This window comes from Homo sapiens, chromosome 3 (assembly GCF_000001405.40).
Source record: "Homo sapiens chromosome 3, GRCh38.p14 Primary Assembly".
NCBI lineage: Eukaryota > Metazoa > Chordata > Mammalia > Primates > Hominidae > Homo > Homo sapiens.
This window is the reverse complement of record NC_000003.12, coordinates 170,585,481-170,611,758: the sequence shown is the minus strand read 5'-3', so window position 1 is coordinate 170,611,758 and position 26,278 is coordinate 170,585,481. Positions and strand designations below refer to the sequence as shown.

The window sequence follows — 26,278 nt, the reverse complement described above, 5'->3', positions numbered from 1 at the left end:
GATCTATTTGGCAGATACTGAACATCACAGCATGTCAGGCATTCTCTGCTTCACTGTTGGGATACATCAGTGAACAAACAGAAAATTCCTACCCTAGTAGAGCTCACATTGTGGCGGGGGAGAGAAAGAATCAACAATGAAAATGTCATATATGTTTTTAATGAAGTGAGTGAGCAGGCTGTGCAGTTATCTTGGGGACGAGCATTCCAGACAGAGGCTCTGAGGCAGGAGCTTGCCTGGATTTTTTGAGGAACAATGAGGACGCCAGGGTGACTGGAGCAGATTTTGAGTGGAGGGATATGCAGCAGGAGATGTGGTCAGAGAGGTAAGTTGGGGTGATCTTGAGGACTCTGGCTTGTGCTCTGAGTGAAACTGAGAGCCATCAGAGGGTTCTGTGCAAAGGAGTAACATGATCTGAATTACATCCCCAGAAAGGATCTGGGGTCAGGTCTGGTGGCTTATGCCTGTAATCCCAGCATTTTGGGAGGCCAAGGTGGGCAGATCACCTGAGGTCAGGAGTTCAAGACTAGCCTGGACAACATGGTGAAACCCCATCTCTACTAAAAATACAAAAGTTAGCCAGGTTTGTGGTGCACACCCATAATCCCAACTACTCGGAAGGCTGAGGCAGGAGAATCACTTGAACCTGGGAGGCGGAGTTTGCAGTGAGCCAAGATCATGCCACTACACTCCACCCTGGGCAACAGAGCAAGACTCTGTCTCAAAAGAAAAAAAAAATAAAGTTAAAAAATTAAAATTTAAAAATAAATTAAAAATTAAAAGGACCTGGCTGGGTGTGGTGGCTCACATCTGTAATCCCAGCACTTTGGGAGGCCAAGGCATGTGGATCACTTGAGGCCAGGAGTTGGAGATCATTCTGGGTAACATGACAAAATCCCATCTCTACAAAATAATACAAAAAATAAAAAAATAAAAAATAAACTGGCCAGGCATAGTGGCGCTTGCCCATAGTCCCAGCTACTCAAGAGGCTGAGGTGGGAGGATCACCTGATCCCAGGATGTCAAAGCTGCAGTGAGCCGTGATCGCAACACTGCACTCCAGCCTAGATGACAGAGTGAGACTCTGTCTGAGAATAAAAAAAATCATTCTCAGTACTTGAAAAACTGGAAGAGAAACTCTAGGGAAGGCAAGGGTGAATGTGTAGAAACTCAGTGGGTGGCTACAGAAATGATTCAGCTAAGAGATTATGGAAACTTGGGCTGGAATAGTGAGAAATTGCCAGATATGCATTTTTTTAATGTAGAGCTGGTGCAGTTTTCTTTTCTTTTTTCTTTTTTATTATTTATTTATTTATTTATTTTATTTTTTTTTTGAGACGGAGTCTCGCTCTGTAGCCCAGGCTGGAGTGCAGTGGTGCGATCTCAGCTCACTGCAAGCTCTGCCTCCCAGGTTCACGCCATTCTCCCGCCTCAGCCTCCTGAGTAGCTGGGACTACAGACGCCCACCACCACACCTGGAAAATTTTGTTTTTGTATTTTTAGTAGAGACGGGGTTTCACCGTGTTAGCCAGGATGGCCTTGATCTCCTGACCTCGTGATCCACCCGCCTCGGCCTCCCAAAATGCTGGGATTACAGGAGTGAGCCACTGCACCCGGCCAAGCCAGTGCAGTTTTCTAATGGATTGGATATGGGGTATGAGAGAAAGACAGATATCATGATGTATACGACTTTTTAGTCTGTGCAACTGGAATATGAAGTGGTCATCAATGTGGGTAGGAAAGACTGCAAAGCAGCAGGCTTTACAGAGTATATCAAGAGGTCAGTTTTGATCATGTTAAATTTGAGACACTCAGGAAAGGATTTTGAGTTAGCAGCTGGATATGTGAGTAGCACTCAGGAGAAAGGTTCAGGCTGGAGATAAAAATTGGGAACTCATAGGCATATGCATGGTTTTTAAAGCCCTGAGAAAAGATTAGATTACCAGGGTTAAGGGTGGAGAGTCAGTGTAGACAGAAAAAAGAATCAAGAACAGTGCAATGGGACACTGAAATGTTAAGAGGTTAGGAAAAAGAGGAGAAATCAACAAAGGAGATGTAGGAGGGATTAGTGAGGTATAAGAATAGTCAGTGGTTTGCTGGTAACTTTATAACATCCAGTTTATCAGAAAAAAAAACAATCCTGATATATAGAGCTTGCAAATTTCCATGATGTAAATAATTCAACTATGGCCAATGTTAAGTTACCAGTGTGGAATCAACTACTCATGAATTTCTTAAAACTTTAACAATCACCAGCCCTCACGAACCAATATTAACCAGCTCTACCACACCACTTATATGACTATCACGAACAGCTATAAACTACAAAATTTTAAATCATAGTTTAAATGAATAATTTTCTTACAATATATTTTAAAATGACAAAATCAACACAAGGAGAAATAAAAAACTTGTATAAGCCATTTACCATCCAAGAAGTTATAATTGCAATCAAAGCTCCCTCTTTCCTCCAAAAAAAGAATCACACCCAGATGATTTCATATTATGAGTTCTATCAAACTTTGAGTGAGATAATTACTCTCTGATATAAGTTGTTTAAGAAGTAAAAAGGAAAAGCTGTCCAACTGGCTTTATTCAGATTGTATAATCTTGGTAATTAAACTGGGAAAGGGCACCATAAGACTTGAAAATTTACAGGCCAATTTCACTTTTGAACAAAAATACAAAAGCCAAAAAAAAAATGCTAACTGTCTTACTTTGAGATCCCTCAAAGCAGATCCTATTATAAGGATTCATGGGCAATGCTTTTATTTGGAAGGTGATGCAAAGAAACAGCAGTGAGTGAGTGAAGAGGTGAAAGAGTAAGAGGAAGGAAGCAAATGCACTTTCAAACAAGTTACCACTGTGAGTAACTTGAGTTTAATCTATTGAGTTAAACTGAAAGCCAGTGTAGAACACATGCCTCAGTGTTATTCCTCCTGAAGGACATGGAAACTGGGTCCTTTATTCTCCCAATATATCAGTCATTCGTTGATGGCTATTCCTGAGATAGAAGAAGTGTTATTGGTCTGGTGCTTACAGTCTGACATGCACTCAGGCAGGGGAGGCCTAGTGACCACAGAAAACTCTGAGGCCAAGAATCACAGATGCTGCTAGTCAGCTTGTCATGCACAGAAATGGTCCATACCAAGTCAGCATGAGAAGGACACAAAAGCACCTACTACTTTAGCTAACTAACTAGCATATTAAATAGAATGTTATAATGCTCAAGTAGGATTTAACACAGAAATGCAGTGAACATTTAAAAATCTGTAATATCATAATGTGTTTACACCACATTATAGCACTACATGTAAGTAATTATCTCAGCAGACATTGAAAAGTTATTTAATAATTCAACACCTATTTATGATTTTTTTAAGTTTTTAGGAAAAGAAGAGAGAACTTAACTTGCTTTTGGAATAGCTTACTTGCATAGATATACATTTCCCTTACCCTTGTTTGCCAATGTGTGAGCAGCTTTATATGATAATGTCAAGAAGTTACCCATCATTGCCTTGATCCTTCCCAGGCTTAGATGACTGTCCCACCTTAGCCTCTGGAGTAGCTGGAACTACAAGCGCATGCCAGCACGCCTGGCTAATTTTTGTATTTTTTGCAGAGATGGGTTTTTTCCATGTTGCCCAGGCTGGTCTTGAGCTCCTGGTCTCAAGTGATCTACCTCCTAGGCCTCTCAAAACTAGGATTACAGGTGTGAGCCACCATGTCTGGCCTAGTGTCAAGAAAACTTATAACAGATTGCTGCCCTTCCTTAAAAAAGACTATCTATGATTAAAATGATGTACTCGTAGGCCAAGCAAAAGAATTAGGAACCTTTGTCACTCTCATGGGATGTCCAGAGTATGTGCATTCTTTTCTGTACCTAAGTCATAGAGTTGTATTGAAAATTACATTTTAAAAGGGCCTTCCAAAAAAATACCCAGAATCTGGCCATTTCTTACCAAATGCGTCACTCCCACACTGATATGAGTGACTATCATTTCTCATTTGGCATATAATCAAAGTGACCAACCAAATCAATAGTGAAAGAATGTACTATTTAGAAAATGGTATTGGGATGAGAAGTCAGTATATTGAGAAAATTAAGTGGACTTTTCACTTCTTACCATATTTAAAAAATTAAAAGAGGCCGGGTATGGTGGCTCACGCCTGTAATCACAGCACTTTGGGAGGCCAAGGTGGACAGATCACGAAGTCAGGAGATCGAGACCATCTTGGCTAACACGGTGAAACTCCATCTCTACTAAAAATACAAAAAAATTAGCTGGGTGTCGTGGTGGGCACCTGTAGTCCCAGCTACTCAGGAGGCTGAGGCAGGAGAATGGCATGAACTCGGGAGGCAGAGCTTGCAGTCAGCCCAGATCGTGCCACTGCACTCCAGCCTGGGCGACAGAACGAGACTCTGTCTCAAAAAAAAAAAATTAAAAGAATAAACTATATAATTCTATTTACATAAAGTTCACAAAGCAAAACTAAAAGATGTTAAAAGTAAAAATAGTTGCAGTGATGGTTTTTAAAATATATTCACAAATTTTTTTGTATTTCTTTCTTTATGAAGTAGCATCTAATTCTCCTCCTCTTGAGTGTAGACTATACTTAAAGAATAGCTTCTAATAAATAGAATGAAGTGAAAGTGCAATTTCAGAGCCCAGGTCATGAAAAGGCACTACAGCGCCTATCTATCTCTCTATCCATCCATCTACCTATCTACCTATCTATTTATCCCTCTCCTACCTCACCCTGGGGAAGTTAGCTACCACATTGTGAGGAGCCCTAGGGAAAGGCCCATGTGGTGAGGGACTGAGGTCTTCTACAACAGTGAGTGAGGAGCTGAGGACTCCAGCCGACAGCCCTATGAGTAAGACTTCTTAGAAGCAGATTTTCCAGTTTTAACAAAGCCTTGGGATGACTGCAGCCCTGGCCAACAACTTCACTGCAATCTCATGAGAGACCTCAGCTCGAACCAACTAGCTAAGCTGTTCCTAGATCCCTGACACTCAGAAACTGTGAGATAATAAATGTTTATTATTTTAAGTCACTACATTTAAGGTTATTTGTTATGCAGAAATGGATAACTTACATAGTTGTTAACTTTAGAGAAGAAAGGGGAGTTAGTAAAGGAAAGAGAGCAAAAGAGAGACATATATTTGTAATGTCCTATTTCTTGTCAGTGGAGAAGAACATAGGCATGTTCATTTTGTGATAAATAATCAAGCTGTAGACTTAGAATTTGTGCAAAATTATATGTCTATATTTCAATACTAACCCAACCTGAAAGTTTTGCTAAATTCAACTATGACAGACAAAATATTTCTGTTCATCAGAAAGACCCTAGGCCAGACATGATGGCTCACACCTGTAATCCTAGCTTTGAGAGGCTATAGGTAGGTAGATCACTTGAGACCAGGAGTTCAAGACCAGCCTAGGCAACATGGCAAAAACCCATCTCTGCAAAAAATAACAAAAATTAGCCAGGCGTGGTGGCATGCGCCTGTAGTCCCAGTTACTCAGGAGGCTGAGGTAGGACAGTCGTCTAAGCCTGGGGAGGTCAAGGCTGCAGTGAGCCACTGCACTACCTCCTAAGCAACAGAGTGAGACCCTGTCTCAAAAAAAAAAAAAAAGAAGAAGAAGGAAGGAAGAGACAGAGAGAGAGAGAAAGGAAGAAAGGAAAGAAAAAAGAGAAAGAAAGCAAGAAAGCTAGCAAGAAAGAAAGAGACACTAAAGACAAAATTAACAGACCAGTGACTTTCTAGAAGATATTTTATCATTTCCAAGACTGACAATAGGTTAATATCTAAAATGTACAAAGAATTCTGTAATACAAAAAAGGCAAGGACATAGGAAAGCAGTAAAATAATAATAAAGCAATTTTAGAGTAAAGAAAATACAGTTAGTTAATAACTACATAAAGACATGTATAACACCACCAGTCCCAGAGAAACTCAAATAAAACAATAGATACCACTTTACACACATCCAGCTGGCAAAAAATAGAAAACCAAACAATGTCAAGTGCTGATGAGGATGTGCAAAGACAAAAATATCCTTGCACTGCTAGTAGAAATGCAAACTAGTACAGCCTTTTTGGAAAGTAATCAGGCCTACAGAGCTTGTACTCTAGAACTCTATCATTTCCTTCCTGGATATAGATCCACAGAAACTCTCATATAAATGCACAAGGAAACATGTAAATGATTATTAATTGAGCATGATTTGAAAGAGTAAAGAGTAAGAAGTAACCACCAGGGGAATTCATAAATAAAATTCAGTATACACATAAAATGGAAATTTATGCAGGTATCTGAGAAATAAACCAAATCTACATACTGCAATGAAAATGAAACTCAAATAATTCTTACCTTCAAAATAAGTAACAAAGCAAGATTTCTGACCAAATACCATTTCTGTACATTTAAAATGCACACGCAAAAATATCATGTACTTTCACTTACACATATGTGTAAATAAACATAAGAATAGTGAAATAGGCATTCATAAGACAAGCAAAACTGGGTGCCCTTGAGTGACTGATGGGAGCCTGGTGATATGAGATGAAGAAGAGAGAAAGTAATGAAATAAAACATAAACAAAGGAAATATTTTCTATGAACCAATGATAGTGAGGCATGAATTTAGGAGTAGATATGATGAAATTAATTCTGTGTCTCAGAGTGCAAAAGAAGAAAAGGAAATCTGAAAAGAGAATAATCCATTTATAGACTACCATGTATAAGAAACCTAGCTTCAAAGCCCTTTAGAACTCATTACCTTACAGCCTGAGCCCTCATGGTTTGTTTGTCAGTCAGCTTCTCTCCCATCAAGCGTAAGAGAAAACAAAGGTGCACTGGCCTCACCTGCAATGAGACTGTACTGGCTTCTATCAAAATATAATGCTTTCTGATTCTCTGCCCACATACCCATCTTCAAGAGGAAAAAACCCTTTCTGGAAATAGTAATATTTAAATTTAATAACTACCATTTATGGGGCACCTACTGTTTGTCAGAAACTGTGCTGGCACTTCACATGTGTTCTGCCAGTAAATCCTCACTACAATTTCAAAGTTAAGTTTCTTATGCATTTTATCAATTAGCAAACCAATGCTCAGAGAATTAATTAATTTCCCCCCAAACCATACAGCTAGCAAATAAATAAACTGAGCTTCCAGGTCTGTCTAGCTTTCTGCTACACTATGCTAACTCCACACTTGTCTTAGAAAAAGAAAGAGATACAAGTTCTTTGTCAACAGAAAAGTGTTGACATCATATGGCTATGGGATGCAAAGAAGCCCATGTTTAAGCAATATTTTTTTCAGTCTGTCCCCAGAATTGATGCATTTATGAAGATGGTCTTGGCCACAACCCCGCCAGCAGCCACTAAGAAAGTGGGGCCACGAGCAGCTGCTATACTGCATGTTTTCAGACACCCACCCCTTACTGCCTACACATAGCCATGGCATCTGCTGCATCAGGACATGGGGATGGAGAGCACCTCTACTCACTGTGCTGCCCCCACACTTGTGTGGGGAGCCTTCTTTGGAGCCAATTAATTATAAGATGAATTAGACTAAGAAGGACTAGTGCTCTGTCTCTGTGCTGACTGCTCATCAGCATTGCCATCCCCATTTGTCAAAATGGAGCCTGCTCACCCTCTGTCCAATCTGTCCTCTAGATAAATGATTTCTTCTCTGCCCCTCATCACCAATTTTAGAAACCAGTGCTGTTTACAAAATCCACTCTTCCTACCCGAAAATATCTGTTTCAGCACCAAGGAGAGAAACCCTCCATTTCTCGGTTGCATGAGTGGGAAAACATACCATTCTAAGAACTGTACCACGTTTAAGGAAAATGTCTTCAGCTGGTAAAAAGGGTCTTATAAATATTGTCTGATTATTCCTGCCAAATTGATCAACCCCTGCACTATTTTCAGGCCAGCTCATGAAATGAAAGCCATAAACACTAATGGATGTTTTAAGCAATCCCCGATTCTCTTAGAGTGTTCCAGTAGCACCTACCACAATGAATTGTAATTTTTTTTATAACTTCTCTGCATCCCCCATTAGATAATAAGCTCCTGGAAGGCAGAGATTGCAACTTCTACTTGGTTATTCCTAGCAACTTGCATCGCACTGGGCACATAAAGGCTGTATAAACGGTTGCTTAAATAAGTGACAGGTAGAGGCTGATGATAAGTCTAAATAAAAACCTAAGGGATGTATTAAGCTTCAAAACTAAAATCAAGGGCTAAATTCTACTATCACTTCCTCATTCCTCCCTTGGCTTGCTCACCAACTCCAAGCCTCTCCCATCCCATTCACTCAGGTTACCATCTTAAATCAAAAGAAGAAGAATAAAACTATTTTTATGCATCCAAAAATATTATCTAGGAGCTAACTGTGGCTGGAGGGATGGGAAAGGAAGCTCTATGGGCCAGGAGTTAAGGGAGATGATCTCACTCAAAGTAATGTCAACTCCCAAAGTCAAAAGAAAAATCGGAGAAAGAAACAAAAGCATGCAAGAGTGCTCAGTGAAAAATGCCAGGAGATCATCCAAAGCCAAAGGGGCCACAAGCAGGTATTGAAGTCAGAGTACAGAGTAAAGATTTAAAGTGGGTAAGATGAAAGCAAGAGCAACCATAAGTGGAGGTCATTACCTTTTAACATGAAGGCATGAAGGAGAGAGCAACTCATGCACCCTTTGTGGATGCTACATATCAAGATAGTTTAAGATAAAGTGAATACTAATCTCTCTTAGTGTAATTTTCCAGAATAAAATTCACAAATAACCCCTAGCATAAACATAGACAATTTCTAATCAAAGCACTTAGTCATTTCTGCCATCACTGAGTGGCTCCAGACATAATTTAACAGCAGTTCAAATTTAATATGACGTAAGATATTTTAAGAACTGTTCACTTGGTTTTACAACAACACAGAAGTTCTCTGTTCCAAAATGATGCACTTTTCCATGAAAAAAGTTGATGCTGAAGTATCTGATTCATAAGCTGTGATGCATACTGTTGCAGAGTGAAGCAGTATGGAAAAGAAATTCCACTCATTTTTTGGAAAGTCAGTTTCTCATGCATGCTCTTACTTTTCAACTACTCATCTGTGGAATGAATAAAAAGCATAATTTAATTGGATCAAATTTTTATTTTATTTCATCAAATATCTGCATTGAAAGAGAACAATTTACTGTATGGCCATATGGAAAGCTTTGACAGGTCATCCATCTAAGTGGCCATGACTCGCCATGATAATGTCAACTTTACTAACAAATAAACACTGATGATTGGAGAGGACCATTTGAGTATTCTGCTGCTAGTAAAACATACTTAAGAGTGGCTTAAGGAATTTATAAGTTAATTTTTCTCATGCATAAAGGAAGGCTCCAGGTAAGAAGTCCAGGGCTGAACTGGCAACCCTAGACTCATGAAGGACCCAGAGCCCTTCTATCTTTCTGCTCCACCAACCTTGGCTCATGGTCTCCATTCCCAAATCACCTTCCCACCCAAAATGGCTGACTGGGCTCTAATGATCATATCCAAATTCAAGATAAAACAGGTAAAGACCAAAAAGTTACACAGCTGTCAGTTCATCTTTTAAGCAGATTTCCCAAAAGCCCTAGAGGCCAAGTAGACTAAGAAGTGTAGACTTTAGCTGGCACTTTTCCAACCAGAACAAAAAGGAAGTATTGTTACTAAGGAAAGAGAAAATTAATATCAAGTACCTGAGTAGCCCCCATTATATGGACAAGGAAAATAAAGCTCAAAGTGTCTGACTGTCTTGCCCAACCTCAAAAAACTGGTAAGGATAGATTCCAGAAAAGTGTCATAGGCATCCATTCCTTTCTCTCTTCTGTCCTCCTAAAAGAACTTTGATTTTCTTCAGGTATTCACTCCTCCTACACACAGAGTCAAAGCTATTCATACATCTACCCTCAGAGATGGGCTTGATTCATTTAAAGGCCATCCCATCTCCCTTGCTATAATGAGCTCCAGACCAGTCACATGAAGTCAAATGAGTCAATTAGACACAGAAGGGGTTTTTCCATGGCTTCTGGAAGTTATTCTTTGATCTTTTCAGAAGAAATCCCCAAAAGCAATATTTTAACTCCCTCAATTATCTTATTAGTAGATATGAGGTCTCATTCTAGGGCAACCCTTCAATATCACCCATGTAAACAACATACAGGAAGAAGAGAAGAACTAAGAAAATGGCGGCTGCGTGTGGTGGCTCACACCTGTAATCCCAACACTTTGGGAGGCCAAGGCGGGTGGATCACGAGGTCAGGAGATTGAGGCCAACATGGTGAAACCCCGTCTCTACTGAAAATACAAAAATTAGCTGGGTGTGGTGGTGCACACCTGTAATCCCAGCTACTTGGGAGGCTGAGGCAGGAGAATCACTTGAACCCAGGAGGTGGAGGTTGCAGTGAGCTGAGATCGCGCCACTGCACTCCAGCCTGGCTACAAAGCGAGACTCTGGCTCAAAAAAAAAAAAAAAGGAAAATGGCAAGAAAAAAAATTGGAGTAAATGGATTAAATTAACATAGTGGGCCGGGCATGGTGGCTCATGCCTGTAATCCCAGCACTTTGGGAGGCTGAGGCGGGCTGATCACAAGATCAGGAGATCAAGACCATCCCGGCTAACACGGTGAAACCCCGTCTCTACTAAAAATACAAAAAATTATCCGGGCATGGTGACGGGCACCTGTAGTCCCAGCTACTCGGGAGGCTGAGGCAGGAGAATGGCCTGAACCCTGGAGGTGGAGTTTGCAGTGAGCCGAGATCATGCCACTGCACTCCCGCCTGGGTGACAGAGCAAGGCTCCATCTTAAAAAATAAAAAAATAAAAATAAATAAAATAAATTAACATAGTGGTCTACCTTACCTCTGGAGTCCAGGTAAATTTTCTTATTGTTTAAGATGATTTCGGTTTGGTGGCTCTTGTTGTTGTCGGTGTTTCAGACACACCTGGTTTGACACTGGTCCCTGACTGGTTGCCTCCAACATCCTGCATCCACATTCTTTCTATAGTGGAACCATTTTACTAACATCCTAGGGCCTGACAGCACTTGGAAGTATCATTAAAAAGGCCATGTAAGTAACAACAAGTTCTTCTTTGAATTTAGGCTTACCTTAAGGATACTTCCATATTTAGCTATTCACCACAGTAACTATAATTAAAGTTCCCTCTTTTTCTCTGTTTTCACAAAAAGCCATGTTTTCTTTCTCTACCAAAGCCTGGTATCATAGTAAAGGTCACAGCATGTCTTCTTTACCTCAACAATCATGTCAGCCTTGTTGCTTGACAGAGATCAGGCATCTCTTGACGTCCCATTGCTTAAGCCTGAATATATTTCTTATTGTGACTGATCTCTGGCTCCTGCATCATGTCAGTTGTCTCCTTAAATTGTTACTTTCTTGTGCATATTTATGGAAGCAATCTAATCGGTTGAAATTGATGCTGCTACATTTAAGGGGAGTTTGTATCATAAATACTATTGCAGCTTGAGTAAACATGCCATGGCCAAAGTCCACCAACAGGTTAACAACCATCAATGACCGCCTTTTCAGAATTGTATACAAGCTGTCTTTACTGATGGCTGTTTACACATCCAACAACGTTTGTTGATACCAATGCTTATCATTATTGAACTTTTTAAGCTTTTTTTTTTTTTTTTTGGCTGTGCTAAGTATTTTTGTGATGCATAGTTAAGAACAGGCCATTAGAGAACATGTGTCAACAAATGGACAAATACTGATGGGATTATTAATGAATTTTATCCAGTTGATGGTCATTTGCTGTAACAGAACATGCATATATAGATAATAATGTCTATAATTAAAGTTATTCATTTACGTCAGGAAGGGAGAAAGCATTCGATGTAATATTTATAAAAGTAAAGAACATTATCACATTTACTCAAAACGAACCTCTTTACATCTCAATTATCAATATAGTTTGCTATAGTCATAACTACCTATATAAAACAATGTACTTTAACCTCAGACAAAATCATAAGTTACATGTTTGGAGTTTGTTCTCTGGAGTCTGTCCTTACTCAATAGTTTTAAACAATGACTATTTTTTATAAAGGAAGAATGTCTTACCTAAACTTAAAAATAATATTTGGGCAGTAAATGTTAATAAATTTGCTACAAGCTATTCTGTTTTCCAACTGTGACCTGATTTGATTCTTTATTCAAAACACACACAACATGTTATATATGAGGGTAGAAACATAAAATGTTAAAACTTAATGGCAACTCAATAATCATCAAATACAACTCCCTTATTTCACAGAAAAAGAAGTTGAAGGCAGGAAGGTTAAGTGATTTGCCCAAGGTAATGAAGATGCTTAGCATTTAGAACCTACACCTAACTCTTGGCCTGTGATCTTTCTATTATACTAAACCACAGGGTTGGGTAATTACCACTGTTTATAAATGATTACAATCATCGTAAAATTTCATTCATTTGCACAATAACTACAGCTTTTATTAGAGTACAAAGTCTACTTGGAATTCCCAAGTGGATTGACATTTTTATAATGTTTCCAGGTCCAGAAACAAAGTTCTCAATTTCAACCTATAAAAATATCTAATTGTAAGATAGACTTTATGCCATGAATACAGATTTCAAAGAATTCAAATAGAACAAAATATATTTAGTACTAAAGCTATGTATGAATGTAAGATGAATGTTACTCAGCCTAGGTCCAATGATTCAGAGACACTTGCTCTGTCTTGAAAAATCATCATTACAGATGCTAACACTGAAGTATTAATTTATGAATTCACTGGCAAGTACAAATAAAAACAAAAATTGGCATATAAAGACCAAATTGATTTTCCAAATTTCTAAGAACCATTAAATTTTTTGGATTTTAAAAATGAAGCATAGCTATATTTCTAAAAAGAGGCCTTATAAAATCTTAAGAGGTAAAGACTACATTGATAAATTAACGTATTGATAGCTAAATGGATGGCTACTTGTTTGTATCCAAATTAATTTTATATCCAAATTATTCTGGTAATAGAAATAAATTTTAAAACATAAAGCCAAGCATGCTGACACTTACAGAGGTTCAGAAATCACTGTCTGGTTTTAAATATCTTAATGCCATCTCCAAATTTTCTTTAAGCATATAAAGAACTCTATTCAAAATGTTTATGGATATATGAAGCATAAAGAAAGCTTCCGAGATAAGGTGTTCCTATTATTGTCCACTTGTTTTACTAGTTACTGCAGGTAACCAAGCAAGTTATCATTTAGTAAGCAGATGCTGTGTGCCAGGCATCACTGAGCACTGTGTAGATACCAACTTATATAACCATACTCCAGATATTATGAGATCAGTGTTATTATCCTGTTTGTCATATGAGAAACCTGGGGATCAAAGAGGTTAATGATTAGCTCAAGGTTGCATGGCAAATTGGTATCTGTCTGTTCCAAAGCCCACACTTTTTACCTCTGGATATTCCAAGCAGAATAACTAGTGCAGTGCATTACACTGCAGAGCATAATCTCTCCCCACATGACACTGTCCTGGGATACTGAAAATGTTTCTAAAAATAACTCCTTTGATCACAGAGGCATCCATCTGGTCTTTCTCCAGCTATTCCAAAGTCATTGTTTCTTGTACTCAGCACCATATATCTAAAAGCCACTGCTGCTGCTTTTTTCTGCAACTGGAGGTTTTTCCTAAGCAAATCTACTGCTCTGAGTGATTGCTCTGAAATCTCTATTTCTCATTAAATTATGCTGGCCATGAAAAAAATAGTAACAACTTACATTTTCATTATAAACTAGAAACTGCTACTAAATTTCTGTTCTTTTCTTTGATCATAAAAACCTTGTGAGGTAGATAGGGTAAATATTATTTCCATTTATCTGATGAGAGACACTGAGTTTCAGATATGAGATGTGGAAGTTCCCCAAGGTCACAGAGATGCGATATGACAGACCCATGCCTTAAACACTGAATTCCGAATCCAATAATCTTTCTGTTATCCCTAACATCCTCCTACTGATGGCCCATGCCTGCCTGAAATCTCTTGTAGAATGAGGATAAATAGATAATATCTCAAAGAAGATAAGAAAAAGAAGGAGAATACAGTGATACAAACCTACTCTGGTGGGCTTTGCTTGAAGTTGCCTCCTCCATATTCAGCTCCCATTCCTTGGTAGCTACCCCATTTTACTCACTACTCATATGTTTTAGAGGAAACTAATAACAAGTCTGCCTTCAGGGATAGGTAGACTATTAATCAGCATAATTCAAACATCTGGTTAGAGCTTTTGGTTTGGAGGGGGTATATAACCTAATCCAGGCCAAAGAGAGTGGAGAAGATGTTTGCTGGGAACCCTTTTTTTCTTCTTTTTCTTTTTTTATGGCACTAAAATAAAAACATTTTCACAAAGACAAAATTAATTAGGACACTTAACATCTTCATTAAGAGTTTTGTACTCCAGCGAGGTGGCAGGTTGAGCTAAGGGGAGTTGGGAATCAGGTATGATATTTTGCCAACTAATGGCAAGAAAACTGATGTCTGTTAGTTGACTCCAGACTGTATAATTGACTCCAGTTGATGTCATCTAAGAGCTAATAAGATCGTATGCAGAAGAAAAACTCGATAAAGTATAAAGCACTGAAGAAATGCAGAGTGGTGCTATAAGAAAAAAATTCATTCATTATTATTATCAATATGGCAGTTCTTAGGGGTGTCAAAAATCAGGCAATACACTTTTTGTCCTTATTTACACATGACATTAATGGGGTCAGGTAAGAATCTCTAAGCACAAGACCATGATTATTATGCAAAATGATTTGGGAATTGGATAACTTATGACTGCATTCTATTGGATAGTAACTTCAAGAAAAAGAATTCCATGGTCAATAAAGTTTGGAGAATGTTTTCACCTGATTAGGATCTTTTTCTCCTTCTTCTGGTAACATGTCCCAACCCCACTCCCACTCCATGTGATTTATGTGATACTAACCCCACCTTCCAGAACTTTGGTGGGCACAGGATATAAATCAGACAATTATCATATTCCATTTCCCTGAACTTAGTGATTGCTTAAGGAATGGGCAAATGACCCCAGTCAGTCCAATGAGAGTCAGCTCTGGACTTGTGCTAGAACTGTTGGAAAAGAGGTACTCTCCTTCCACTGGAGGTGTTAATCTGCTTTTTTTTGTTTTTTTTTTTTTAAGTGAGCCCAGAGCCATTTGCCACCTTAGAGGAGAGTTTGACTAAGGATGAAGCTAACTCAGAAACAAACAGAGCTGAGAGATAAAGGCAGATACCTAATCATGCTCTTTCAGCACCTGGACCCAGCTATGCCTGAAGTCCCTGACCTTTCCATTACATGTGCCTCCAATTTAGAGGACCATTTCCAGGGAAGACTAAAAAGTCCAGGTCACAGCCACATTCCCCTCACTGCCCACTCAATTATAGACCACATTAAGACTGGCAAACTGCTGGACAACAACCGTCCTCCTAGCTCTGTGTACCCTTCATTCATACACAAAACCCCAGGGCCTACACCACAGAAGAATTTCTCAGTTCTATTAAATGACTCAGGGTTTTAGGTAGCTCTACTCCTCCTCTTTTTTCTTTTATCACAAAGGCTTAGCCTGGCTAACACACACATAGTAGGCTCTCAGGAAATGTTTGTTTGATGTCTGTTGAACAAACGGCCACAGGGCAACTGTTGAGAAGTTCTCTCTGCAGAATGCATAGGTCAGATTCTACCTTTAATTTTGTCATTCAAAGTTTATTTTGGCTAAGTTAGTCAATAAATGACTGAAATCTATGACCTTCCTGAAGAGCATTTGCCACCTAGTCAGCACCCAATAAGTGTTAGCCATATAATTTTTGTTTTTAAAGTCTTTGGTTTCACACCATTTAGGATGGCTATTAAAAAAAATACATGTTAGCAATGATAAGGAGACATTGGAATCCTTGGGCATTGCTGGGAGAATCGTAAAATGGTGCAGCCAGTGTGGAAAAGAATATGACAGTTTCTCAAAATATTAACCATAGAATAATCATATGATTCAGTCATCCCACTTTTTGGTATATACCCAAAAGAATTGAAAGCAGGATCTCAAAGAGGTATTTGTACCCCTATGTGCATAGCAGCACCATTCACAATAGCTAAAATGTGAAAGCAAGTCAAGTGCCCAACAACAGATAAATGGATAAACAAAATGTGCTATTTGCACACAATGGAATATTATTTAGTTTTAAAAGGAAGAAAATTCTGACACATGCTGCAAACATAGATGAACCTTGAAAACATTACGGTAAGTAAAGCAAGCCCATCACAGAAGGACAAATACTGTATGATTACACTAATATGAAGGGCCTAAAGTAGTCAAATTCATAGAGACAGAAAGTAAAATGCTAGTTGCCAGGGACTGGGAGAGAAGGGTATGGAAAGTTTTTGCTTAATGGGTACAGAACTTCAGTTTGGGATGAAGTTCTAGAGATGGATAGTGGCGATGGTTTCACAATAATGTGACTATAGTTAATGCCACTAAATTGTATCCTTAAATATGATTAAAAATGGTAAACTTTGTGTTATATATATTTTACTACAATAAAATTGTTTTAAAATTAAGTCTTCTAGCCTTCCTATTGAGGCTGAAATAACATGCACCAAAAGAATGAAATGCTTTTTAATTAGCATCTTTTTCTGTTTGTCCACATAAGCATTTCCTCCACAAAGATCCTAAACTAGCCCTAGCCTAATCAGGGGAGACCTCTGGCCACAGCAGTTATTTCCATTTTTCACATCATTGGTGGTTATTTTGCCATCACTCTTCCAACCTAGACCAACATATACACAATATATATAATTTGAGATTCCTTTATCTTGTAATCCACTTACCAGATATGAAAAAAGGCCTAATTCTCAAAATATATTCAATGCTATTCCCTTGATAGACACACTGCCTTTTCAAAGCCAGAGGTCATGTCACCTTTCTGAGTAAGGCAAACATTCTATCATTGCTCTCTTTCACACTGACCCAATTTCTCTTGTTTGATAAGGATTCCCAACCAGCTGAAAGCATTAGCATATGAGAGATGACCCAAGTTTTATGCAGAGTTCATTTAATAAAGAATCAGGGATGGCAAATCTTACTTATAGAATTCAAAGGAGATGGGTATTTGCTTGTTAAACCAGCCATTGTCAGCATCTGTTCTGGACAAAACAATGACAGCCTTTAAGCTATTGTGAGATAGGATTAAGTTTGCCTCATTTCCCATTATAGTTTAAAGTACTTCCGATGATACCTTAATTGATACAAATGTTCCCAACATTAAACATAGTGAACACAGCAGCAGCCAATAAAGCCAGGGTATGGGGATTAGGGAATGGGGAGTGAGAAGGAAGCCACAGACATTTTTATTGCACTGTCATCATCATCATCCTCACCATATCTTCAAATCAGAAGATGGAGATCCCAAAGAACATGCAGAGAAGCACAACACTGGAAACAGACCTCGTGGATGAAGCAAACCATTGCAATGATGATTATGGGACAGTAAGTGTAAGTGAAGCCATCCTTATTTCTTATAATGGCATAATCCATGAAATAAGTGCCTCCTATTTGATCACAATTTTAATAGATAAAGCCTCGATTGAATACCAATATATAAACACAGATTGAAATAAGAAATAATTTAGTGTGCCTCCTCTACAATAACACAGGGCTTGGCTGGATGATTAAATGAGGAATCTACAGGATCAGACCTGGAAGGCAGTGAGCTGGTGTCTGGTTCAGGACTTGGTCAAAGAGGCCAAGTCATGTTTCAAAATCCAGGAGTTTGCTAGAAATTCCTCCAAGCCACATGGGGAAGATGACCTGGACCAAGCTGACCACAGAGCTAGGGGCCAGAGTCCAGAATGATTGGCCAATCTGAAGACAGGTGGCTGCAGGGAGCAGCTACTCAGGTGGAATGACTGAATCCTCATATCAGAACACACTGGTTTTCGCCCTCAGTCATCTTAAAGGCACTCTTGGTACCTGAAACAATAAGACTTAGGAAACCTTAATGCAAGGATGATTAAACACTACAACATTTTGTGGAAGGAGGGGGAGTAGGGCAGCCAAGCTGTGAACTCTCCTTCCCTGAGGATTCTGGAAGGAGACATCCTGGTTGATGATTTAGGTCTTCCCCAGCTGGGACCTGGAGGAGATAAAGACTGGAACTTAATTCCTGTTTCTAAATTGTCTCATCATTTTCATCTAATGTACTGGAACACTTTGCAGAGTCTTTGGTCTTCTTAAGAGCTTTAAGAAATGAGTAAAAAAATAAAATACTCTCATTTTCTAAAAGTCATTGAATTAAATAGGAGAAAGCTTATACACAGCAGGTGAATACATATCTTTAGAAGGCTGACAATAAAATAATCACTGTTTTACACGATGGATGCTTACTCAGAGCGTAGCGATTTGCTTATCCATCTCCTAAAGGGAATTTGCTGCGGACATAATTGGCCCACTACCAAGTATAATACATTATGCACTTGGTGGCAATCACATGGACTGCCAAGACTGGAGCAAGCTAACAATCCCATTAGAGTGAGCATCATTTCTTTCCCTCCAATTCTGTCTGTGCTTGTTGACATTTTTGTTTTGTATTCAAAGCTGTTGCTGTGAATGCTTCCTCAACAATGTGACCTTTCATACATGCAAAGTTGGCTTAAAAGGCTACTTCTTGACCTGTGGTCATTTCCTCATTGTCTCTTGTTGTAATGAGTCATTGGCTGGTGGCAATGGCCAGAAAATGAAGTTTGCAACACCTGAGGCTCGGGAACTCTGCCAGTGGGCCCAGGGTCTCCTTTATTCAGCATGAGCTGGCACTCTTCTCATTGCTGCACTCAGTGTGGCCGCTCACCAGAACTACTCCCTACCCTGCCCCGGGAAAACCACACAACTCTTGGCTTGTAGTGTTGAGTCAATGGAAGAGTTGTTTGAAGAAACCTATTCCCATTCCCTCATTTTTGTGAAGAATAAATGAGACTCAGCATGGGGAGCTGCCATGGCTGAGCTCACTCAAGTAGATAGTGGCTGAGCCTATTTAGTCCCCTTCATATCCATCTTCTTATTGTTAACAACACAAAGAATAGTCATCAATATTGAACAATGATAACCACCAGGCACTTTATGCATATTATTTCCAAACTTCACAATTCTACAGTCAGGCATTATTATGCCCTCTCAGAGGTTAGTACACTGAGCCTCAGAAAACTGGAATGATTTGCCAAATAACACATCATTAATTCATAGTTGAGTTTGGATACAAACCTAGGTCAGTTTGACTCCCTGCTCCTTCCCACCATGATCTCAGCAGTATATGGGACAATTCTAGACCCCATCACTCTCAGGCTCCAGAGAACGACTCCCCAACACCCATGCTAGCTGTGAATATCATATCCTCCTACAGCCCAGACAGGGTAAACTTCCAAGCATCTATTCCCTTCTATACTGTGAGATAGGTCTCTTAATATATTGCAAAGTTTTTCCTAATGTTTATTATAGATTTTTAATTGTACGTTTGGAATGCCTGCTTGATCATATCCTTAGATTATTTACTGCAACCATTGCTCTTATGTCAGATATACTGACATAAGAGACGTTTTCATGTGGTGAAAAAGAATGGGGAGTGGAATCAACTTGTAGCATGATGGGAACTCATGTATACATCTCTCCTCAGTGGAAGACTGTGGCATCTCATGTAGTAGCCACTATAGAATTTGGATGTTTCAGCTGTTTGTCTGCACATGCCTAATACAGCAAAGCCAAATCTCAGGAATTCCAATGTCAATGTGAACAAGTGGCCCATTCTCCAGAGCCAGTGCTGCCTGGCTCCCTTTCTTAGACTTCCTGGGAGAGATTCTAAATTTGCAGTCTGGCATTGATCCTGATTTATTCTCTATTTTGACCTTAAAAAATTATATAAGCCCTCTGAGCCTCTGTTTCCTTGTGTGTAAAGCAGGATGATAACAACTTGACAAGAATATTATGAGTACAAAATTATTTAAATGTCTTAATACAGGGCCTAACACTTAGTAGGCCCTCAAGAAGTGATAGTTTTCTTTCCTTCCCTTTTTCTCTGCCCCCTCTCCCCTGCAATCACCCCGACCACTTTCCCTGACTGACCTACCTCTTTTGATGCCCCTGCTGTCACCAAAATGACATTCTGCATTCCCGCTGCCATTTGCCTGCCTTTTCCCTATGTATGATGAGAACTCGGGGAAAAATGGACAAATGGTGGCCCATTGTTCTGGGAAACTTAGTTAGGAAAGATTAAGAGAAGAGTAATTGAGAGGACAGAATCAAGGACTGTTAGTGATGGAAAAAAAAAACCTATATGGTAGAGACTTTTACCGTTTACTTTATCTGATTCTACTCTCATTACATGTAGAAGAAAGTATTATTCCTCCCTACTCACCTTGTGATTGCAGTGGGGTCATATGAGCCATCCTGGACTATGAGTTGTGGGCCATGGTGATGTGCATCACTTTCAGCACAGAGCATTTAGTTGCTGGTACAAGGTCCTTCAGCCCTGGTCTTGCCACCCAGGGTGAACTCTGAAGCGTTAGGCTGAGACAGGACATCATAAGATAGTATTGAGTGACTACATGGAGCGGAGCCCACAGTGACTGACAGTGGGTGCATAATGTGAACAGTAAATAAACTTTTGTTATTTCAAACTACTGAAAGTTTGAGCATGTACATTACCACAGACTAACATATTGAATACAACAGTCCAAGTATTGGCTTTTATTTTGTATTTACACAGAATAACCTATAGAATATAGCAGTCTAAGCCTTGGCCTTCATGTTGTGGCCCCTTGAAAAGGGGTGGGTTTTTGGCCCTAGTAAGCAAGATATTTTACAGATCTTTTGGGAAGGAGCACCCAGACTTGGAGACAGATCTGTGAAATGTAAGTTTTAGCTCTGGCTCACCTACCAACTAAATAGTTCTAATACAAAGCTATTTCTGTATTGTTCATGGCTGTATCCCAAGTGTCTAGAATATGTTGAATAAATAATCAACACTTCCACATTCCACTTGTTAGAACAAGAAAACTAACCGAGGTTAGTCAAACCCTCTGAGTCCTAACTTTTCTCATCTTTAAAATAAGAGCTAGTATCTCCCAAAATATGGAAAATACAGCATCAAAGGCACTTGCTATTCAAAGATCCTTGCTACTCAAAGAGTAGTCCAAGAATCAGGAGCATCAGTGTCACTGGGATTGTGCTGGAAATGCGAGCTCTTGAGTCCCACCCCAGTCCTACTGAATCTAATTATGCATTTTTAACAAGGTTCCCTAGATGATTTCTATGCACGTTAGAGTTAGAGAAATATTGATTTAGATGGTACTAGGACTCAACATTAAATGGCCTGTAATCACCTAGTGGGAAGGTTATCCCTTTTCCACTTATCATTCAATCTTTTTGGTTACTTTATGGAGAAAGACAGTTTGATGTCAATGTCTTTAACACCTCACTAACAGCTGCTAATTTCCTTTTTAACAAGGAGAAAGCAAGCCTTCGGTTCCTGGGAAGGCAAAGGTATTTATCTTGACTATAATAGCATTGTTTTATTCTCATTGTGTTTGTTTAAATAGTTGCCTTGTATTTATGGCAACTGATATCAGTTTTCTATTTAAGGTAGTGATGAAAACCTCTTTAAAATAAATTAATTTAGGAAAGTGAATGTAATTAAAGGAAGGAAACACATAATAAATGGGAAGAACTGTTTGCTTTAACGATTCCTTCCATGTCAAGGAACTCCATTGGTTTGACAGTCCTGACCTCTGTCTTGACTCCATAGTTTCACTGATTAGGCAACTTTATTTACTCTGCATGGGGTAGGAGTGGGGAAAGTGCTATATTCTATTGTAAATTTAGGAATAAAATGAGCATGCTTAGGTCAGCATCCTCCTTCTTCCTTTTGAAATTTAAATACCTAGAGGATAATTTACTCATAGATAATTTGCTTATAAATTTCCAGTCCAATTGGTAGGATCCTAGCAGCAGGTTGTTTGTTTAATAGATCTTTATGGTGTGCCTATGGTAATGCTAGGTTCTGGTTGTGTGTCTTATTTTCTGTCTTCCTGCTGCTCAAAGGTACTGCTCCCTTTGGAAAGTTCCAGACGAGCCTCTAGCCAGGCTATCACAGTGTCTTTGGTTTCTCAGGTTTTGAATCTGCTCAGAGGCAAGAGTCAGGGGCACTGATGAGCTTGGGGTCCTTCTAGAAGAAAGCATCAGGTACTCATTTTCATGAATCATGAGACAAAAATGGAGAATTGTTTTTAAGGCATCTGGCCAATTCCCTCATGGCTTAACCACCATCCATTCAAGCAGGTCAGTCATGAGGGATTTTAGTCGTTACCCTTTTAATGACCCTATTTTGGCAAAAGGCCCTAGATAAGAGTGCTCTGCTGCTTCCCTGGAGAGTAATCGCTTTTGTCTCTGAGCCCCACATTTGCTTATGTTAGTTCTCTATCACTTAAGTGGTGCCCCTTTACTCTTCATTATATTGTTCTGTTGTATTTCCATCATGATACTTATCTCCACTGCTTTGTTTACTTGTTTGTGGTCTGACCCCCTGCTCTAGACTGTAAGCTCAAGGAGAGCAGAACCATTTCTGTATTGTTCATGGCTGTATCCTAAGTGTCTAGAATATGTTGAATACATGAATCAACACTTCCACATTTCAACTGTAGGAACAAGAAAACAAGGATGTGTACTTTAAAGATCTAGTTAGTAGTCACTTTGTAAGATCATTGTTGAACTCTGGAACTTCACCAATTGTTGCGGCTGTGCATGGCTCTAAATAATTAAATTTTTGTCTGCTGCATTTATATTTCTTTGTTCATTAATGCTCTACTTACAGCTGGAAAGTGTTTGCAGTGGCTTATGATAAAGTCAACAATCATCATGCAAAAGACAAGAGCTTATAAGTAAGGGAGGACCCAAGGGAAACCTTTACAAGAAATCATTGCTAAGGTATAACTTTCTACTGCAATCTATGCAAGATCGGTTCTCTAAGTTTCCTTTTCTGCTCTTCACTGGGTAAAGTTGCCTTGGACATTTAAAACTGCTTTGAAAAAATATATATTCAGAGTCCTTGAGCAATTTCTGGTGAAACTGTTCAAAATTTTCTGAAATTTATGCTTGTCCAGGTAACTGCTCATAAAGGCATCATGGCCAAATTAAATGATTTCATGCTTATTTTTCCCTTTCTCATGTTTCTTGATGTCAGTGGAGAGGTAGGCAGGAGTCAGAAGCAGCATTTTACCTAGCCCAGACAATTTTTTCAGTGGTATATATAGAAGCATGGTTGACACTTTCTGGTCTTTTAGTCTCCCTAAATACAAAGAGGTCCAGATTAGCAATTTCCAAAGAATATTAAGGGGAAGTACACCAGGAGATAGGATTGGAATCTGCTTAAGGTTGGAGGGTTCCAGGAGTTCCTGGTTTGTGTGAGGATTTCATTGAGTTTATTGGCAGTGGACTAGAAACACATATCATCATTCAAGCTGCTGATGAATGTCTAGAGTTTGTTCCTAGAATCCAAATTTTTTTTCTTTGAAATCGAAGCCATTTTGAATTACCAACCCAAGTCAATTTTACCTAGCAAAGGCAGAAAAGTCTAAACCCTGCTGTCTTGAAATATAGGCACAAACTTTTCTCAGATAGTAAATATTCATAACTATTGTGATTGTGGCTGGTGTTCCAGAAATAAAAGGCCAGGGAAATATGGAGATTTAAATCAGAAATTTATCCAGAAAAAGGTGAAACAAAGAATGCAGTTCTCCAATAATCACATCCCCTGAGCTACAGGCATACATGCAGACTTAGAGCAACACACCAACATTTTAGTAGCTGCATATTCCATGACAAATCCCATCTTCCCATCTTATCACCCTCATAATTCATTTGGACTAGAATAGACTCAGGGTTTTCTTCAGCCCATAGTATTCATACTCTTTACCTTTTACAGTGACTTCTCATGTGCTATCCCATCTAAACATCACAACCATCTTATATAGAAGGCAGGTAGACATTCCTTTCCCATTCTGAAGATGAGAGTCTGACAATTTAAGTGATTTGTGAAAAATCATATGATAAGTAGCTGGCAGAACCTGCACTGAGATTCCAAATTTCTGATTTTTTAACTTTGCACTTTTCCTACAATGTCTCACAGCTTCTTGGTGATCCCAGGAGGTCTAACATATCCTGCAGAACTACTCAAAGCTTAAAATATGGGGATATTGTCAGGCTTAGATGCTCATCGAAGGCAGTAACAAGCTTGAGGTAGGTGGACTAACCAAGACTGTCCTGGCAATGATCAAGCAACTTTCTGGGAAGAGCCCAGGGCAGACCCACAAAGTAGAGCTAGATTTGAACTGCTCCACCCTAGAGGAGTATCAGTCAGCCAGTATTCTCCCCAAACACAAGCCCAGTGAATTCATTTCCAAGGATAGGAGAGTTACATTTTGTTGCCTCCCATGTGTTTTGAGGGCTTGGGCCAAAGTGCAAGAATTTATGTAGATAACTTTCATCCAAATCAGTCTACTCAATGCTTGTTAAATAATTCATTCGGTGATGTGGCCAAGCATGCCTGGGTTGGTCCCATCTAGTCCCAATCCTTTTGGGACATAACCTGGCTCTAGGACACTCATCTTAAAGGAGCTAATACAAAACAGAAACCTTATCTCACTCTTGTCTCCGTTTAGACTGGTACTTGTCTAGCCTGACCTCACAGATGCCTCCTTCCATGTTTAAAAGATGCTTTCACTGTATTAGCACACATCACATCCTTCTTGCCTTGTGAAATTTATTTTAACAAAGGTGGGGGAAAAAGAACTCTCCTTTATTGAGCTCCAAATACCTGTCCAACTCTAGGCTAGGCAATTCTAAGAACATGATGATTTCTCAATCTCATGACAATACTGCAAGGTGGTTATTTCACAGACGAGAGAAGAAAAGCTAGAAAGTTAAATGCTCCAAGGTCATACAGATTGGAATCCTAATGGCTCTTCAAATCTCAAGTCCATGATCTTTGCACCCATAAGATGTTGTGAACCCAACGATAAACTTAAGCTTTGAAGACAGAGGTGGGTCTTGTCTTCTTTAGGAGGAGAGGAGAAATCAACCTCTCTCATTTTTTCTTTCCTGTAGGGCTCAGGGATGTGGAAGTTTAAGAGCAACGAAGGCTCCGCAGAGGATGAGGGAAGCTTCCAGAGGGCAGGAAGGAGGTCTGGACAGCCCAGTCTAGCAGGGGCAGAGCTGCGGCAGATGCCTTCCCAACGCACAGACATTGCAGAGTCCTGCTGGTCCCTGCTTTCCCAGGGCAAAGAACTGCCCCCATCCACGGCCCCCTCAACCTCCCTGCAGCCTGACATAAGACACTGGAGGTCACAACTGGAGGCTCAGAAGGCCAGCGAGGAGTTGTGAGCGGCAGACAGAGGGGAAGGCAGGGGGGCCAGGTGGGAGGTGGTCTGGTGCCAGGCTTGGGCCCAGTATGTAAGGGGTTGGGCAGGCCATGTGACTCCAAGGAGGCGGAGACAGGCGAGCTGGAGGGAGGACGAGCAGGCACGGGGAGGGGTTCGGGGGGTGGGGGCCCAATCTGAATAATTGAGGAGCTGTTCAGCAGCAGCGGCTGCCTCCTGCCTTCCTTTGCCGCCACCACCACTTCCCATCCCAGCTAGAGAGACAGCTCCGCGCAGTAAGTGCGGACTGCCAGCCACCAGCCTTGGCAGCCAGCTCGTCGCCTCCAGCCCCGACCCCGGTAAGTGAACGGCCCCCTTCGCTGCCGTTTGTCCCCCTCCGCGCCCCCCGCGCCCCAGCGGGACCCCTGCAACTGGGATGGCCGCCTCTCCCGGAATGACCCAGGGAGCCGGAGTCACCGGGAGCGGGGGACCAGGAATATGGCGCGGAGGCCCAGGGCGCCCTCCGAGAAGGGGTTCCCTGGAAGAACCGAGGAGGTGGGTCGGGCTCTTTCCTGCTCTGGCCCGGAATGAGGCCCCGACTGCCCGCGGTCTGGGGGCACCGGGCTCTGACTCGCGGGAGCTGCCGGGCGGGGCGGGGGCCAGCGCGGCTCCGGCGCCGCTAGAGCGGGAGGCAGAAGGGGAGCCGCGAGCGGAATGCGGGCAGCCTAGGTCTCGGCAGACGCCGGGCCCGTCCTGTCCCCCGCCTTGGCGCGCACCCCGCACGGGCAG

At 40.3% G+C, this 26,278-nt stretch overlaps 1 protein-coding gene and 1 long non-coding RNA gene across 3 annotated transcripts in view, besides 1 other annotated feature; one reads left to right on the top strand and one right to left on the bottom strand.

The window, feature by feature from the left end:
• The window catches only part of SLC7A14-AS1 (SLC7A14 antisense RNA 1), a 287,921-nt gene that overhangs the window by 143,447 nt on the left and 118,196 nt on the right, over window positions 1-26,278 (bottom strand). The gene's annotated exons all lie outside the window — the stretch shown is intronic.
• Window positions 4,793-4,993: a silencer, noted in NCBI's record as "peak4918 fragment used in MPRA reporter construct". NCBI's record gives its function as "represses an SCP1 promoter by STARR-seq MPRAs in K562 erythroleukemia cells {active_cell/tissue: K562}" and the evidence as "EXISTENCE:reporter gene assay evidence [ECO:0000049][PMID:32103011]".
• Window positions 25,684-26,278, top strand: part of SLC7A14 (solute carrier family 7 member 14) — a 126,528-nt gene continuing 125,933 nt past the window's right edge. The window contains exon 1 of the mRNA NM_020949.3: window positions 25,684-25,848. The gene's annotated coding sequence lies outside the window, so the exon portion shown is untranslated. The remainder of the gene's footprint in view (window positions 25,849-26,278) is intronic.